Consider the following 20,174-nt stretch of genomic DNA (forward strand, 5'->3'; position numbering starts at 1 on the left):
GTTATTTCATAGTGACCTGTATTTTAGTACATAAAATTCAGGTGAGATCATAGAGATCAAGCTTCCTCACAGATAACTATCCCGAAAAATTGAAGGTTTGGGGTATCTGGCTTGTTTACAGATGTATAATTAAGGATATATCTCCTGTCTTAAGTGTCCTTAAGTGGTGACCTGGCAGTAGACTTCTAATTTTATACTATTTCGTGTGATTTAATTAAGGGAAAATGGTTAACATTTGCAAAGAAAATTAACTTGCAGTTATCTGGGGGGTTTTTTGGATTTAAACATCATTTTGAAAACAAAAATGAAATAAATCATTTCATTTCTGAATTTTGGAACCTGGAAACAGGAGGAGGAATTTTTTTTTCTAGTTGGTGGTCCAGTTGTGTCCTCAAAGTACAGGAAACTAAAGAAATACTACTTAGTGGTTACGTTGTGGTTTTTAAAACTAGGTGGATTTTTTTAATTGTCTACCTTTAATTTAGATGCCACGTCTTTCCAATTAAGAATATTTCCCGTCAAATCCTATAACTCCCGGTAACATGTTTGTAGACACTTTCAGAGTCACTTTTAACAAGATATTCTTCAGGGCTCCCACTTGCTACTTAAGCTTTTGATTTTTGTTTGTGTGTTTTGTTTTGCACAGGCACAGCATCACAAAACCACCTATTATTTAATTTCTCCTTATCCAACAGTGATAGATTCCAATTTAGCTGAAAATAGTATACATTGGGGTGCGTGGCACCCAGCTACTCTATTTCCCAAGAACCTTCCATCCCCTTAAGAGCAGGGTCTGGGAACACCCAAAAAACCCCTCCCCACTTTGCCGTCATCGCGGGTGAATGCACCACTACCTTTTGGCAGTTGGAGGGGAGACCCATCAGAGCCGGAGAACCTGCAGCCACGACGGCGAGGATGTGCAGTGGTCTCTGGGGAAACGCCGCCTTCTGCCCTCACCCGGCGCGTGTGGCCCTGTGCCGTCCGCTCGCCGCCTCTCTCTCGCTGCTCCGCATTCCCGTGCCCTCTTACTTTCCTCTCTGGGCTCAAGATCGCTACGCTTTATTTCTGCGTGAGCTTATTTGAAAACCTTACTTGGTGTCCCGGCTTACTCTCCACGTCTGCTCCAGACCACGGTCTGCCCACGCACCCCTCAGCCTGCACCGCCCACGTCCGGCCCAGGTGTGGTCGCAGCCAAGCCCCAGCCGCGGGCCCCTGCGCCCTGCGCTCTCTCCCTTGGGTTCAGGCCAGAGATGCTTGCCCCAAGACCTCGCCCCTTGCCTTCTTGGGCCACCTGCAGAACACCCTTGGTTGTCAAGGACGTGAGACAGCCGAGGACGGGGAGGCCCCAGGGCTGTTCGGGGGACCTTAAGTGGGTCCAACGGGAAGGACGCGGGCCTGCGAGGGATGCCGGTCGGGCCTGGCTGGAGCCAGGCGCGCAGGTGGCGCATCTTCGGGGCTCACTGTGCAGCTTAATTGGGTTAAAGCGAAGCTAAACACCGAAGCACTTTGTGCAAACTAATTGGTGCAACCAGCGCCTTTTCACTAACGATTTGCACTTTGAGAAAGAAAAATGGATGGTGAGAAAAGGTATACTAGGAAACTCATTAGATCTAGAGTGTTCAGGAAAGTGAAGTCATTTAGTTTAAAGGACGCCAGGACTGTGTTTTCTAAGCTGCTTCCTTAAGCACCCCTCACACAAGGAGCTGAAGGTGATTTACATAACATAGGATTCACCGGTCCGCGATTATCACTGTGGGTGAACTGGGCGCCCTGGAATGAATAATACTCTAGTGCAAGTACTGCTTGTTGCTGCAACACAGTGATTTTCTATTACACTGAACACGTGAAATGAATTGCCTTCTGTAGCTGAATCCTTTCAGTGATCGTAGACGCCCCTCATTGTTGAAGCGAGAATTAAGCTATTCGGAGAAGCGTGTTTTCCATCCCCGAAATTTTTTTATGGAAATGACCTATAGAGAGGGATTGCAAATAACAGTACATTTTTGTGCAGTTCAGCCGATTTTAATCTAGGCTTGGGGGATATATTTATTTTATGGGAGTAATATATTTAACTATTTTTCAGTGAATTTTAAAAAAATATCATTTGACCTATTAAACTAGTTATGTCAAATGATTATGTAGTACATAGAGATGGCTTAATATACATTTATGTATTAATGTGAAAAGTTTTTTTAAAAAACTCCAGTTATACCAGTCTTGCAATATTTTTTGTTGTAAATATACTCAGTGCTACTAGAATAAAATTGTGTGTGTGTCATGCTTTAGGATGTAAATACTTAATTGTTTTCAGTGGTAGGCATGCAGACATCTTTGACATGAGCTAATAATAGAATGATAATTGAGGAAAACTGGCCTAATTGAAGGAAAAAAATCTCAAGAATCTCATGATTTAATGATAGTTTGAAATGCTTATATTGAATGGTATTTAGAATTTTAATGCCTAACTGACTTTTACATTGCATTTACTTAGTTTATGAGGCAGGCTCGATTTAAAATGTACCAGTTAGGAAAAAAAAAAAAAAAAGCAATAAGGACATAGCACACCATTATCATAAATGTTAGTAGTATTAGTGAATATAAAATAATTAAATATTGTGATCCTTAACACTTCGAAGCGTTCGAAATAACAGTGGCAAAACAACTTTGCCTCAAGTAGTATTTCCTAAATAACTTGTCTCCACTTCTGCAGACCTGCTTACTTATATGGGATATACAAAGTAATTCATAAATAGTGTCATTATTAAGCTTAAAGAAAAACCCTGTTATGTTGAGAAATACAAGAATGCAATATTTCTTTGTTTTCGAAAAAAACCTGATTTAAATTTGAATTGCATGTTCACAAATCTCAGTAATTGTAACCTTTCATCTGGAAAAAAGGTATCTGTTAAAGGATATGCACATACATGTTAAGTGCTTATATAGATATTGTTTGGTGTTTTTTCATTATCTGCTAGCTGCTAGTCTATTCACAAGTATTAATGAATTTAAAGTTTTATTTTTTTAATATGTGCTTATTACGCTGGGGAGATAAAAAGAATATGAAGTTGAGTTTATTACATTATTTATCCCTACTGCTGGAGTGGCTTTGAAGGCTCATTGTAGCCATCTGATTTCTTTCCCCCTTCTTTTTTTTTAAATGCACCCAGGCTATTTCAAGTGTTTCATTCTGCCAGACACAATATATTTCTTTTTTTACACTAGAGAAATTAAAGACAGATATTTGTGCAGGGTTTTCTTTATGTGTCACATTAAATAAAGTAAAATAGAGAGAGTTTTTCTGGTAACCTAATTTGATGGCATCTATACCTTTCTTCCTGTGTGATTCCTGGTATAAGAACACTTGAGACAAAAAATAGCTTGAAACCTTTCAAGGTTTCAGTGATTTCTTAAAGTAATTATTTCATCTTTTAATATCAGATTTATTTCAAAGTCAAGCAGAGGATTGAGGTCACTGTTTGCACAATTTAGACCCTATTTTATTTCTTCAACTAGAACATTTTGAGAATCGTGGTTAATTTTTTAGAATTGTTTATTCTTCACTTGACTGATAAAGGCCTTTGCCTCAGTTTTCTTCATCACCCTAGTTCACAATCATATAGTCACATTTGTAGTGAAGAGTACTTTTTTTCTCTACAGTGTTGCTTAATAAGCTTGATATTGGTATTAATAGGTTTTTGAAAAGAAAATTTTGAGATTAAAAATGGAAGTTGGGAGTATACTTGTAAGAATTGACCACCGCTGCTTGATTTGCAGACTTGAAGTAATACTGGATAACTAGCCAAAACTTTTCTTTTGGTAGAAAAAGAAATTTAAAGCCTGGCTTATTTTCATAATTGTCTCTGTTTCCTCACTTCATTTGCATATGTACACAGAGGTACAGGATGTTTTCAGTTGTATCTGTAAACTGAAAAAAAAATGGGGAAAGGGAGGTTATCAACCTAAAGAATTTTTTATTGTTCAGCATAAATTGTGATCTCTAACCTTTTCCAAACATTTAAGGACAATGAAGTTAGTCATTCATTTATTGAATACTGTGTAGGAAATATGGATTCCAATAGTCTAATTTCTCACAAACCCTTCAGAAAGTTACTATTATCTTTCTAATAAAACTAAAATCTTTTTGTTAGATATCAGCTTATAATTTTCTTGTGATATTATAGAAATATTCAGACAGGATAAATGGGCTCACATGATTCTTTTCTATATAATGTATGAAAATTAGGTATTTCCTAACCTACAACATATACACAAATGTATGTATGATTTTACATACATGAATTTACGTACATTTGTGTATATGGCTACATTTTTAGTACTCTTAATATGCTATCTTTTTATTGCATTTAGAGAAAACAAAGGAATCAGAATCGATTAGTGTCTGTTAATCCCTACATCTGTACTAGGTCATCCAGGACTGCATTGCTCTCATTACTGTTTCATACTGTATGTGATTAAGCCACTGGAAATATTCAACATGACCTTGAGACTAGAATATGGTACATAGATAATCAACTTCCAGTGATTACATGTCTAAAATAACCTTTCCTATTTTTAATTTATAGTTTTGGAGCTTATTTTTTAATGAGCAAAGTAATTCTTCTAAAGTAAGATTTATTTTTTTTAATGATTAGTAACTGGAGTAATAATTTAAAAGGATAATTACATAAAATAGAAAACGATTACCTTTTATCATGTATATTATGTGCAGTAAAATAAATGGTTTACAGAAAAAGAAGGAAATTAGTTTATAAATATAAATTTTCTTTATATCTTTACATATAAGTATAGAGATAACTATCTGAGAATATAATACCTATATAATATTTCATTTCCAGTTACATTTCAATATTTTCACTATTGTAATAATATACATTTTAGTACACCAATATGTACTATTTCTTGAAAGCACACTTTTTCATATAATGATTTGTCAAAAATATCAATTCTAAAGTAATACTAATGAATAGTTAATACTTTTACATTCACATATCCTTATCCATTTTATTATCTAAAATCCCAATCAAATTAGAAGCATGAACAGCATAGTTTGTAAGATGTAGTGGTGTTCCTGATTAAAAAAAAAAAAGTGGGAACCTAGTGAAATAAAATGTATAGCTTTGTTTTTCTGTGAAATTTATTTTTTTTAAGTTAGATATGTCTGTGAAATTTATTTTTTTAAGTTAGATATGTCGATGTGTACTTTGCATACAGTAGTATTCCATGATTTTTCCATATGATTGTGCCATTCTATGAATTCTGACAAATATATACCATCATAGAAGCTCTACCACACATGTAGATAGAACATTTCTATTACCACAAAAATGTTTCTTCATGCCCTGATTTCATTATTTTTATTTGGAAATTTTATGATTAATGTATAAATGTCTGGCTGTTTTAGTTTTATATCAAAAGATCTTTAGACTGTAACACCGTTATTTATTTCCCCTAGAGTTTACTATTTTGTCATGCTTCTAATTAAAGACAAGTTTTAATCAAAAAACACTGACACAGGCAAAGTGTAAAATAATATTTCAGATATATAAGCAATATGTTTATAATTTTTATTTTATGTAAAGTTTAATTTTCATGTATGTGACAAATTAATACTTGGTAGAAGATTGATTTTTCAAAGAAACTCCTAATATTTAGTAGCTAACATGAATATATGTGTTAGATTTATGAATCTGATTTACAGCTTACACATCAAAATATGCAAGTAAGAATGGGTTTCTCATATAAGTTAGCAACATTTGAGGCATATTTGTAATGTTTCTAGCTTTATGGCACTAGAGAAAGAAATGTCAAGATTTCTCAATATTTTTACTTTACATTTTCAGTAAATTAACCTTCCCTTTGAGTGGTAGGAATTGAGGCTAAAGAGTTTATTAGATCTAATATTACTTAATATATGCACATTCTTGGGACATGTGTATAAATATACATTATCCTAATTTTGTATAAATATACATTATTATGTAAATGTAGATGGTTACAAATACTCTAAACCAAGAATTATTAAATTATAGGAGTGAAGACATTGATAATGATGCTCTTTCAAATATTTTGTCTTTTTACAACTTGGAATAGTACAACTAGTCTTTTATTTCTTCCCCCAAGATATACAAATTATTTAAATGCTTTCTGTTTTGTATTTTTATTTTGCAGTTACAATAGAAATTTTAATGTTATGCATGCTTACAGGCCTATTAAGAAAGAAGTTATTGCTTTCTTAATAATCTCAAACCATCTTTAGGAAATACACTCTTTTTATGGTTTGCAAAATAGCCCATGCATGCATGCAGGCTGTGTACAGACACACACACACACAAAAACACCAGTGTTTAAGATAGCAAAAGATTGAATTGGCCTCTATACATTTTCCGTATTCATCTGTTAAAAGGAAACAACCACTAAATATTGGAATCTTGTTGCCACCAGGAAGTAATATCCACATCCACAAGTTTGTCTCATAATAACCCTTAACAGTTTTTGATAATACCTGAAGAGACTGTACCTAAATGGATTTTTAAAATAACACGGGAAATTCCAACAGCATGTATTCAGTCACATATACTACGTCAACTTTGAATGTCATAAGCTTTTAATTATGAAATTGAGAAGTTTATTGCTAGCCATTTTGTCCATAGAAAAAATTTACTTAAATATTTACCTACATTAATATGTGTGTGTGTGTGTGTGTGTGTGTGTGTGTGTGTGTGTGTATATATATATATATATATGTAGACCCTCACTAATTTAAAATTGTTTTTTACTTTTTTGCAACAGACCAAGTTTAAATTTTTTGCAACCTTAACCTGCATTTGATAAACAAAATGTATAACTCTTCAGGGGGAAAAATGTGGGATGTTTTGTTTTTTGTTTTTTACTGGCAATTTCAGTTCTTCATTTGTTTTGCTCTCCACGCTGCATTAGCACAGTTTTCCCCTGTGTGCATCTGCCAGTGTACAATTTAGCCACGGGCATCTGTAGACCTTGTGGTGATCAGTATTGCAGGCAAAAGCCATATGTGTTTAAATAAAAAAAAAATCTCTTTATTTCATTTGCTGTTTTAACTGGATGGATAACTTTTGTGCCTCAAGACAGAAAAAGAAAAAATACAGAAATAATTAATTGCCTCTATTCTTGAGGCAGTTTCATTTCCCCTCCAATATGGAATGCTTGTCAGCTTTCCTGATAAATGACTGCATGTATTTGCATAGATTTTACATTAACACAAAAATTAGTTTTATTTGTGGAAAACTAGTTTACATAATAATATAAAACCCCTGTTATTGATTATGTTTCCAAGCATTGATGACTTTAGAGGGGTGGTAGTATTCTAAATTTTCAAAAGTCTGATCAACCTGTATAATTTAAACTTTCTTTTGATAAATAGTTTTACATTAAGATCTAAAAGACATATTTATAACATTTTAAAGTTTTAAAACTTCTTTTCTAGATATACTTACCACAACTGTTTCAGACTCATAGTAGCACCCATTTGGTAAGAAGATTTTGATTTTGAACTTTTGCCAAGGAATATTTTTAAATACATATTACCAATTACGTACACTTCAGCCAATTGGAAGACTGCATCTATATGAATTACTTTAATTTTCATATTCATATTATGAAAAAAGATGGGTGCTATATTGGATGTGTACAGTTTAGCTAATTCTTGGGAAGTTATGTATTATTTACAACCAAATTTAAAATATATCTGAGAACTGTCCTCTCCATCTTTAACCTATTTCCTTCAATATACTTAATTAATCACCCAGCCCTGAAAAAACCACTCTGCTGGAGCTGTTAGGGTACTGAAAACAATTCTACCTCTCTAAGTGGCAGGCAGTAGATGTTTATTCATACTATAATCTGGCATCTTGTTGTCTAGAGGCAACCTGCTAATTATGTGCTATCGTTGTATTATCCATGTTATGGAAAATTCAAATATGTTCACTACTGTTAGTTACATCGCAAAGCTTTTCGTAAAATATACTTGATCCTCAAGAAACCTACTATACTTAATGGCAACCTAAACCAAGAGTGTCTCTGCCACTTCTTGATTCTGGGACACCCTGGGTGCCAGCTGTCACAGCTCAGCTAATGATGACAAATGCCCCTCTCTATGCAGATTGCAGAGCTTGCAGGCTGCTGTGAAAGGCAACCAGATTACCTTTCTTCAGATAGTAACTTAACCTTTAAAACTCATGTCAGAATGAAATGATCAGCTGTGATAGTTTCAATATCTGTATCTTTAAAAACAAAAATCAGAATAATATCAAATAATGCTTTTAAAAGTTTCCAGTATTTGTATGATTTACAGTGTTTTACCCTTGAATGCTGTAATATTCTTAAATAAGAAACTCTGGGTAAGACATACTTCACAACCACTTTAGAGTGTGTATTTGAACTCTGCGTATAAATCAGGTAATAGGTAATTGAGAAAATTCTCCAGATTGTTTAGTCTAAAAAATAGGCTGATGAAATTTTGAGGGAAAATATGTTCTTCTCTTCACCTGAATGAATGGTAAAGCCTCAATTCTCCCACTGCTTGTACAAGCCTAGCCTGTCCCAAGCCAATAGTTATATTATGTCATTAAAACTTAGTTATTCCAAAATGATTTAGAGAATAATTGTTGCTAATGATTGTTTTCTCTGGGTATTTTCAAATATGATCTTTTAAGTTATTAATTTGTTCTATAGAAATTTATCATATTACAGAACCTATACTTACATGGATTATTCAAAACAATAATGAACACCATTAACCATAATGTAATTCAGAGGGATAAATTACCTATTAAATGAGATAATGCTTTACAATTGCAACATTCTTTTCAATTTACAAAGGATTTATATCCATTAATTCATTTGATACTTAAAATAATTCTGAGCTGGGAAAGATGGGTGACAAGGAACAGGGACCAATATTTAATGAGTATTTAATCTCATTTAATCTTCACAACAAATATTAGCTCCCATTTACAAATAAAGAGACTGAGGTTTAGAAAGGTTGCATCTTACCAGGGTCACACAGGTAATTGCAGAGCCAGGTCTGTCTGACTGTGGCTGCCATCAGCATTACAGTTTCTAGACTACATATGTCCATAGCCAGATATAATTCATAGAAACTGCTACTAGGCTTGCATTTACATAAACAACATAATTGATGAGTTTTAAAGATAGGTTCTTTATAGGATGCTTTTAAATAGGTAAATACTGAGATACTTTTATGTTATAAATTTTAATTTTATAAGGATAATGTATTGATCTATCACATTGGGAGAAACTATTTAGGAAAGATATGTACTGTTTACTGAATATCAAATTGGACTAATTCACCTAGATAACCACTTCATTGTAAAACTTAAGATTAATGGGATATACCTTTATAAATGTGATGAGGAGAAGCAATTATTTCAATAATTACTTGAGTGAAATATTTATATACTTTTCTTTTATAAAGGTTTATCCATATCATAGTTTTACTATGTAATATCAGTGAGCTATACCACCCACAATATTGTTTTTCAGCTCAAGACACATTGAAAACTTCCTTTGATCATGAATTTAAGTGCAGTCATTTCCAAGAAAGCTATGCCAATGCCAGTTGTATTTATTCTGTAGTAAATTATTCTTTGGTATAGATACTAAAATGTGAGGAAATTTTTTCAATGATACATATGATTATATTATTATATAAAGACTATTTTATGTACTGATTAGTAGAATTATATTAGTACTTATATAGAATTAGTACTTATAGTTACTAATCAGTACTTATGCTCAATTTGTATTTCACTCTACATAAAAATTAAAACTTACAGTGAAAATTTTACTAAAATGTGTCATGCAGTTAGTATCAGGGAAAAAAGTAATTCTGCCGCATAAGTCAGACATTTTATATCAGGGCAGGAAAGAACTCTGGAGGATAATGCAATGTAACCCTCTTCATAACTGTCTGAATCTTCTCTACACCATTACCAGCCATGGTAACAACCATAGCCAGAGGTGGTTATCTAACCTCTACTTTTACCTCCATGAATGAGAAACTTACTACCTACTCAGATAGTTAATTGCACTTACAACAGTTCTAGTGGTTAGAACGCTCTTCCTAATATTGAACCAAAATATTTCCCCTTGAAACTTTCACCTTCTGGCCCCTACTTTCCCTTCTGAATAGTATTATCCCTTTAACAAATATATGCTTTTTAAATTCAGCATTTCAGATACCAAGTTGAACATACTCCAGTCTTTCAGCTATTACACCTTTGGCATCTTTTAAGTCACCTCACTGTTCAGGAGCCATTCTGGTACATGATTTTCTTCAAGTACGGTGCCTAGAAAGTATTACTCCTAGAATGGATTGGTACATGTAAAGTGGAGAATAATAGCGAAACATGGGTCACATGAGCTTTTTGGGCATATCCATACCCACGCAGATAAATGCTGTATGTCAACAAATATCTTATTTGTTTAAACATATTATTACCGAGGTCCTAAGTACATGACTTTTGTATTCATCCAACTCATATCTTGCTATTTTTAGGTATTTTTTCCGTGACTTGACTTATAATAATAAGTTATACATCATTATTTTAAGAATCAATAGGCATAACAGTTCTTTCTAAAAATGTGTTCATAAGCTACACATAGAATATTCAGAGCAAAACAATCTAACTTTAATGAATTTAATGTTTTTGCTCAGTTTAAGTGTAGAAGGAAGCTAATCCACTTAATAAGACCTCAGGATACATTGAATTTACTAAATACTCCACAGCCTTCGTATAGTTTTTTTTCCAAATATTTAAAATCCTAATATTAGTTTTTCATAGCTTTATCGAAATGTGTAACTAAGAAGCCTCATTTGGGATAAAGTATATACTTTATGTATTTTGGCATTTATCAATTTTGCTTTGTCAATAAATTTTGTATCTACAAATGAAATCTGCAGGTTTCCCACATGCTTGATCAATGACTAGCAAACTAATAAACTTTCAATGCAAATAGATGTGCTTCTAGGACTTGTAGACTGTTATAGGAATCACCAACATATTGATCTACATATTTTAACCTTTTGACAATAACAAGAGTTTCTAAATAATTTAGCATGAGCAGAGGTAAATACTTTTAAAAAGTGATATTTTTAATAACTTGAAGCCAATGTGAAAATTTGTAAATTAAACCAAAGTAGTCACAAGACCCATTATGCTCAGTTGTTTTCTTCAAGTGCAGTGCCTAGAACTGAATATTCAGTATCACAGAGTGAACTGGTGAATGTAGGGCAAAGAGGCCTCCCTTAAGTATTAAATACATTGTTGGAAAAAACGTATTCTGAGAATTCTCAAAACACATTTGAGAAGCAGTAGTAAAATACAAAATGCATTTTAATATATATTAATTAAGTAATTTGTAAAATACAAAATACATTTATGTCTGTATGGGTGGCAAAAAAATTGCATTAACTTTTTTGTGTTAAAGCCTTGAATTTCTTTAAGTGCAGGCGCATGTTTTTATTTGCCAAGTTTTTTTTTTAATGAGGATGTTTCATTACTACTTTATTTATTACTGCTGTGACATCTAGGCAATAAAAGACAAAGACAGCCTGCCTGAAATTTGGCTTTCTTGCAGTTTGTATCTTGAATGGGGAATAAAGAAGTCCAGTGCGTTTACAACAGAAACATTCTCAAGTGAAGAGCTGCCCCATCTGTTTCATCTGGTGGCTTATGCAATAAGAGGTGTTATCACATGAATCTAAATGCACAAGCGGTCGTTTTATGAACTCTTTCTGTGCTTTGAGGAGTTTATAAGTTGCCTACTCTATTGTGTATCAGTCCCAGCTGACCCAAGTGCATTCTGCTGGGCATATTTGGGGGATAATTAGAACTAATGAAGCCTGGAATACAGCTAATTCTCTAAGTGATTTATTCTTATGCTCTTCTCTGATCCCTAAGAATTCTCCAAATCATAATCTATGCCACTTATTTTTTCCTAGCATTGTGTTGATACAGCTACTTTATGCTTAGCTGATGGACATCAAAAGTAAATTCGGTATTTGAAAGGCTGAGAAACATGTTTCAAAGTAAAACTTTACGTTACTTATTAGTCCCCAGGCTTGAGAAGAATGCCAGTTCTTCAACATTTTATGTTTTTGTTTAAATCTCAAAATGTTTATGGCACTTGCAAGTAGATAATAGCATAGAAAATATAAAGCAATAAAAGCTCATTAAAAAATGTACCACTGGGAAATCAAACCTACAAGTAAAATAATTGAAAATTATTAATGGAAGTTTCCTATTTCTTAATTAGGTTTCCCAAGGAAATCTGAAGTTTAAAAAAAACTTTATGAATAGCTTTCATGTTCCAAAGCTGTTTCATTAACCTGGCTTCACTGTCCTAGCAGTGTTGAAAATGATGTTTCTTTACGTGCCCTCACCAAGTAGTCAGTGATTCAGTGGCCTGTAACGCTGTAAATCCCATCAACTTGCTTTCCTTTCCTGTTATAACTGTTTCAATGAGTGGCACTTTTGTTGTGCGGGTTCAGATCTGGTAGCTTACTGAGGGCACACTAGAATGAGGACAGACACAAATGCCAACAAAAGAAGGCTATAACTTTATTAAAGCCTTATACTCAGTAAATAAGATAGTGGAGCCACTTCAGCTAAGTAGTTTTATAAGCTATGTCCTATTTGATCTTCTGTTGTCTAGAAACTATAGTAGAATTTATTAAGAATTGTTAGTTTTACCTATTGATTCCAGTGTTTAATATTTACCATATTCTAGAGCCCAGATAACAAAACCCTTAAGGGCAAGTACCACTTTATTAGTTAGACATACTGAAATACCTGTACTAATGTAGATCACCAACTAGACTGATTATCAACCAAAGGACCAGTTGGAGATTCCTGAATCTCATTACAGGATACCTAATCCAGCCTCAGATAAATTCTAGTCTTAATTGTATACCCTGACGTAAGAAGTTACTGTTTCTCATATTTTACCTTCTGCCTAAAAGTCAGCTAAACACTCGAAAACATGTCTTAGGAACTTGATGAAAAGTTGCAGGTCATTTTTTTAAGAACATTTTTACATCTTTAAACAAGACAAAGAACAAATTGGTAAAATTGGCTAAAACTGAGTTTTTGTTATTTGCAAGTTATTCTGCTAGGTGCTTTATCTATATTACTGTATGTACCTTCATCTTCTCAACACTATGAAGTAGAAACTTCTGGCCTCATTTCATTGTTAAGAATCTGAAACACAGAGAATTCAAGTAACTCTTCCAAGTTCACAAAGCTAGGAGTTAGCAGAGTTAAGATTTTCATCTATGCCATCTGGCCCCAGGCTCCAGAGTGTGCTTTCTTAGTCATCATATAGAACCTCTCTAAGTTTGTCTTGTCATCTGTAGAACAGGGATAATTCTGTGTCATAGGGTTGTTGCACAGGTTAAATAAATTAATACACATAAAAGTTTATGTGTTTTAAAAAGAATATTTTTAAACTTATATTACCCAAGACCACACAGTAACTAGCAAAGATAGGACTCAAACCCAGCTTTTTCTATCTCCAGACTTCTGAGTTTATGTAGCATCATGCTTAGGTATGTTTGTTGAATGAATAATTAAATGAATATCATCTGTTCTGTACTTCCCAGTGGAAGATTTTGTTAATTTTGCTGGTTATTTTGATAGCATATAGCAGGTACTCAGTGCCTGAATGAGTGAAGGATTTTTCAAACAATACTCGCCAATATAATATGTTCTATACATTGATCACTCTTAAATTTATATCTCTAGCCAAGACCTCTCCCCTTAATTTCAAGCTGGTATGTTCAGTGGTCTTCTCCACATCATCTCACATATATAAGATGCATTTCAAACTTAGATTCCCAATTGAGCACCTGCTTCTCCATCAGTCATCTGTACCTCAGTAAACTGCAGTGCCTTTTTTCCGGTTTCTTAGGCCAACAACATGGCTGTCATCTTTGACTCCTCGCTTGCTTGTGTACCCAATATCCAGAGTGTCAACAAATCCTCCAGACTCTGCCCATCTCTCACCAACTTTACAGCTTCCATCCTTGCAAGCCACCATCATCTCTTAATTTATTTTTGGTGCCCATTATCCTGTATGTGTACTACTGGTTATCTGAGGCAATATAGAATGAGAAAAAGTACAAGGAATTATGCTAGGGAACATAGCTTCTCACTAATATTCCTCTGTGAGGAATATGATCCAATAGGAATAAATGAGAAGGAATGTTCAGAAAAGTAAGGCGGAAAACTAACAGATATGACTATCTTAAATGCCAAACACAAGAGAGTTGTAATAAAAAGTTAGTGGACAACAGTTCAGCTACCACATAGAGTTCAAATAACATAAAAAGTTCTTTGTCTTTCCACATCCGTATCAATGGAATTGTAGAGACAGAAGCAGATCACAATAGGATTGAAGAGTAAATCGGAGGTGGAAAGTGAGGTAGACAATACACTTTCAAGAAAAGTAGGATTGAAGACTATTCTAAGTGAAGTAACTCAGGAATGGAAAACCAAACATTGTATGTTCTCACTCATAAGTGGGAGCTAAGCTTTGAGGATGCAAAGGCATAACAATGACACAGTGGAGTTTGGGAACTCAGGGGGAAAGGGTCAGAAGGGAATGAGGGATAAAAGACTATGAATTGGGTTTAATGTATACTGCTCAAGAGATGGGTGCACCAAAATCTCACACTAAAGAACTTACTCATGTAACCAAATACCACCTGTTCCCCAAAAACCTATGGAAATAAACAATTTTTAAAAAGTAGAAATAAAGGAAATGCAAGAGATAGTATGGTAATTATGAAGTGATGCAAGAAAAAATTTTAAAGGTATTTGAACATATTTAGGGCATAGAGAAAGAAGCCATAGAGGAGAGGTTAAAGTTAAAATGAAGGACTAAATCATGGAGGTCTCTCTATCTCCAAGATCAGTAGAAGGAAATGGTATCATTGTCTTGAGGCTACAATGAGAGATGGCTTTTTTCCTTGAAGATAAACTCTACACAATTATTAATATTGCATTTTATTTTATTCCATATGTATTTGTAACAGTGGAGGGTGAGATGTTGGGTTTAGGATAAACAGGTGGAGATCTGAAAATGTAGCAGGAAGAAACTGTTGCATTGTGGAAGATAAATTTGTAGATGGTGGTTTTTAAAGTTGGTGGATTATACAACTAGGCCTCAGTTTTCTCTTGGCACTTAAAGCACTGGGACTGAGGTAAGCTTCAAGAAGGGACTTAGATGTTTAAACTGTCACTAAAAGGAATGGGAGATAACGATGCTGAATCCTGCTTTACCTGGCAACCCTAGATGAAGGAGAAAAGTAGATGTAGTAAAATTTCTAAATAGATAAGTGACTGAGATAGCTTAAACATAGGCAGAATAGTTTACTAAGCGGAATATGGACACAGGCATAGACTGCTGAAATACAAAGAAATCAAAGAATTTTAAGATTAAGGTACAGAATAGATTGTCTATATGAATACTGAATTCTCTAAAAGTGATTATAAGATTCTGGGTGGAGAGGGAAAGAATTTTGGGGAAAGAAGACCCATGAAGAGTAGAATGAATGCTGTTAAGTGAATGGAACAGGAGACAATCTGAGTCACCAGAGCCTGCACAAAACAAACAAATGGGCCTAAGAGGGGTTGCTGGGATTTTGGAAGCCAAAAGATAACTTGATGAAATCCTTTGTAGCCTAATGCTTTGAATACTTTTGAGAGATTTGATAAGCAGTTTTATCATCAACAACTAATGATATGGGAGTTTATTTAAATTTATTCCTGGAGCCAGGGAATTCATAGACTCTTATTTTAAAAGACCCTAACATTCCATATGAAAGTGTTTTTTAGGTGTCTGCCCAAGTGATAATCCACTTTAGTATATCTGTTTCCAATACTACCAAAGTGTCCATCAGGATATTTTGGTAGGACCTAGTCATATGTTTTATTTGAAGTATGTAAAACTGCCAAAGATACTTTACTCTTAAGTGTTTTCATATCATATAACTTTCTTTAGTTTCCCAGTAGAGTGAGGAAGCCCTCCATTAGGAACCAGAAAGCTTGGGTTTTAGAGCTTGCTCCTTTTTGAATAGAATATACAATCTTTATTAATGAGCTTAGTTTCCTGCCCTGTGTGATGAAGGCATTGGAGTAGATGATTTCCCTTCTAAAATTCATTCAGTTCTCTGTATTATTTAACTTTGAGATGAGTACAAAATAGCAGCAGTTTTACCTTTAAAGGTGTATCTCGTCATGTGCAACATATACCTTCCTGAAAAGTTAGCATATTTTTATTATTTGAATTATATTTAAATATATCTGTGAATTTATTCTTCAAAGGATCCTTACAATAAATCTTTTAAAAATGAATTCATTTTATAAATTTAATGATTTCTTTATAATGTATAATTTCAAATTTAAATCTTTAGTTATTAAATATTTTTAAAAACAACTCTATATATTTGTCTTTATGTAACTTTATAAAGGGTATAATGAATATGAATATAAGGAATACAAAACCAATGATAAGTAAGAAAATAGTAAGAAAGTAATTAATCACTTTAAATGAATTCATGACTTCAGGGTACTAACAGAATTTGGAGGTTTGATTGAAGGACCAATCATTGTTGAGGAATTACAGAGACAGTGAGATATGTCAGAAGACTAGATGAGAGCAAAATATTAGAGAATTTTGCTTGGCACCTTCTGATCAACAATGGTAACAAAAATGTGATTAAGACTTAAGGGAAAAAGTCAAGTCTGCCTCAAATCCTGTGGGTAAGCAAATAAGATCTAAATTTTTGAAAAATAAATCTGTAGTCTGATAAATTAAGATGTATTAGGTTGGTGCAAAAGAATCGTGGTTTTTCCCATTACTTTTCATGGCAAAAACTGCAATTACTTTTGCATCAACCTAATATATTGTAAGCCCTAGAGCCATCGCTAATAAAATAACTAAATAGATGTAGTTAAAAAACAAGTGAAGGAATGGCAAAAGAAGGCAGTAAAGGAGGAAGAGGTGAACAAAAAAGATATGAAAGATACAGAAAACGAAAAGCAAAATATCAGATGTAAATCCAACCATATCAATAATAGCATTAAATGTAAATGGATTAAACAGTCCAATAAAAAATCAGAGACAGGTGCAGTGGCTCCGTAATTTCAGCTCTTTGAGAGGCTGGGATGGATGGATCACTTGAGCACAGGAGTTTGAGACCAGCCTGGGCAACATGGCAAAACTCCATCTCTACAAAAAATAGAAAAATTAGCTGGATATAGTGGCACATTCCTGTAGTCCCAGATACTGAGGAGGCTTAGGTGGAAGGATCACCTGAGCCCATAGAGATTGAAGCCGCAGTGAGCTGTGACCACACCACTGTGCTCCAGACTGGACAACAGAGTGAGACTCTGTCAAAAAAAAAGAAAAGAAAAGAAAAAAAAATCAGAGACTGTCGACTGAATTAAAATAAAAATAAGATCCAACTCTGTGCTCTCTACATACAACCAGATGCTGTTAACTATGTGTTTTGACCCAGTTTAGGTTCAAAGATACAGATAGGTTGAAAATAAAAAGATAAAAAAAGATATGCACACAAACAGCAACCATAAAAGACCTAGAGATGGCTACAATAATATCAGATAAAATAGACTTTTACACTAAATAAAGCCACTACATACAAAGAGAAACACTTTGTAATCAAAAAAGATTAGCTTATAGGGGAGTTATAACAATTATAAATATATTTGCACCTAACAACAAAGCCCAATGTCCATAAAGCGAAAACAGATAGAATTGAAAAAAGAAATATTAAATTATCCAATAATAGTTGGAAACTTCAATACCCCGCTTTCAATAATGAAGACAATAACTAGATGTAAGATTGACAAGGACATATGCTCCTCAATTTACAAGGGTGTTGCATCCTGACAAACCCATCATAAATTGAGGAGTGTATTTTATATGTATCATTTTTGCACCACTGTAAAGTCAAAAAATCATAAGTCAAACCATCATAAGTCAGGGCACATCTGTAAATAGAAGACTCAAACAACACTATAAACCAACCAGACCTAATACACATCTGCAGAACACTCCCAAGAACAGCAAAATTTCTTAGTGCACATGGAACATTCTCCAGGATAAACCATATGTCAGGCCATAACACAAGCCTCAATAAATTTAAAAGGATTAAAATAATACAAAGATTTTTTGACACAATGGAATTAAAAATCTTTCTACAGTTGACAAACTGAACAGCAAATACTTTGGATGATAGGCAAGATTCATAAATGATATAGAAACCATGCCATGTGACTTGAAAGAACTGAGGCTAGTGTACCCAACTAAGGAGTCTAATTTGGATGGTAGAGATGGGGATGAAGTAGGATATAATAGTTTCCTCTAAGAAGCCTGTCGTTTATAGCAAGGAGAATATTAATATGTATACATGACCTTCCAGAGGACACAAGTAAGATAATTGGGTGGAAGTTACAGCACAAAATAAGGAAGAATATTATAACTGTACTTTTCAGTTCAGTAAGATATAGGCAGTATTGTACTTCCCTTTTTAAAAAAACAAGGTCTCATTATGTTGCCCAGGCCTGACACAAACTCCTGGGTTTAAGGGATCCTCCCACCTCAGCCTCCCAAGTAGTTGAGAGTGACTAGAGTCACATGCCACTGTGCCTGGCTCTACTTTCATATATTGTGTTCCTTAAATTGGATTTTTAAAGTCCTATGTAGAAAAGCCAAACAAGGCCAGGTGTGGGGGCTCACTCATATAATCCCAATACTTTGATTGGCTGAGGCAGGAGGTTAGCTTGAGCCCAGGGGTTTGAGACCCGCCTGAGCAACATGGTGAGATCTTGTCTCTAAAAAAATGAAAACCTTAGCCAGGCATAGTGGTGCACACCTGTGGTCCCAGCTATTCAGTAGGCTAAGGTGGAAGGATCACTTGAGCCCAGAAGGTTGAGGCTGCAGTGAGCGATATTGTCACCACTGCACTCCAGCCTGGGTTACAGAGTGAGATTCTGTCAAAAAAAAAAAAAAAAAAAGAATAGAAAAGAAAAGAAAAAGAAAAGTCAAACAGTGGTTTTTAATAGCTGTTCTTCTAGCAAGGATAAGTTTAATTCCTGCAATATGTCTTTTCTCAAAAAGTCAAGGAGAAGCCTTAATAACTGGAGCAGCTTGGTGTGCAGGCACCTCTACCGCTCCCAGGACTGGAGCTAGAACTTAGATATTGAATCAGGACATCTCATGTCTTTCTCAACAAAATAATGCTCCCTTCCCCCAAACAAATTTACCAAACTCTAAATATATTATTGCACAACTTCCTTATGGTTTGGAAGGAACTTTTTCCTAACTTTATCAAATCTAAAGAACCATGAAGCAACTCTTTCTCCTAAGTCTATGCTTCAGTCATAAGCACTGTGAATTACGCAAATAGCTTAGTTAGATATGTAGATGAGTTAAAAATAGAATCTGCAAAACAAAATGCAGATTGTACAAAAATTAAGGATATGATCACCAGTCCAGGATCACCTCCAATAGGTTATCTCATAAGCTGTGAACATTGCCACTTAAAGTGATTCACTCAGGGCCTAAGGAACCTTCTGTAGGAGAAATTGAGGAAGTGCTTATACTCTGTATGATTTCATATACACATACAAAAAAGTGGACTGAAAAATATAAATCTATTTTGCCAGATGTTCTTAACATTTATATTTATCTGCATTAAAACAATGTTTTTGTTACTGGAGAGTGGAATTTTCAATAAGATTTTAATAAGAAAAATTATTTCATTTGCTATATTCTCTCAGAACATAAATTACACTGTAGCAGTAAGTTAGACTTTCTTTCATACTCTGGAAGTACATTTTAGCATATTATTCTTCCAGTAAACTACCTGATATCTATAGAGTGCTGAAGAAGTTAGCAGCCAGATTATTTGGTTTACCTACAAGAGATTAATTTGCATATCAGCAAGGTCTGCATAAATCTGGGTGCAGTATCTTTCAGTCTTTTCTCTGTTTTGTAACACTTGACCCATCAATTTAGATAGTACCTTGCCTGAAGTACAAAAATGAGGAAGACATGTATATTATCTC

At 34.0% G+C, this 20,174-nt stretch overlaps 1 protein-coding gene across 15 annotated transcripts in view, besides 1 other annotated feature; it reads left to right on the plus strand.

Moving 5' to 3' along the window:
• The window catches only part of NBEA (neurobeachin), a 730,467-nt gene that overhangs the window by 535,260 nt on the left and 175,033 nt on the right, over window positions 1-20,174 (plus strand). The gene's annotated exons all lie outside the window — the stretch shown is intronic.
• Window positions 1,246-2,042: an enhancer, noted in NCBI's record as "OCT4-NANOG-H3K4me1 hESC enhancer chr13:36052912-36053708 (GRCh37/hg19 assembly coordinates)". NCBI's record gives its function as "activates a minimal SCP1, AML or CMV promoter by ChIP-STARR-seq in naive H9 embryonic stem cells {active_cell/tissue: H9 hESC(naive)}" and the evidence as "EXISTENCE:reporter gene assay evidence [ECO:0000049][PMID:30033119]".

This window comes from Homo sapiens, chromosome 13 (genome assembly GCF_000001405.40).
Source record: "Homo sapiens chromosome 13, GRCh38.p14 Primary Assembly".
Classification (NCBI taxonomy): Eukaryota; Metazoa; Chordata; class Mammalia; order Primates; family Hominidae; genus Homo; species Homo sapiens.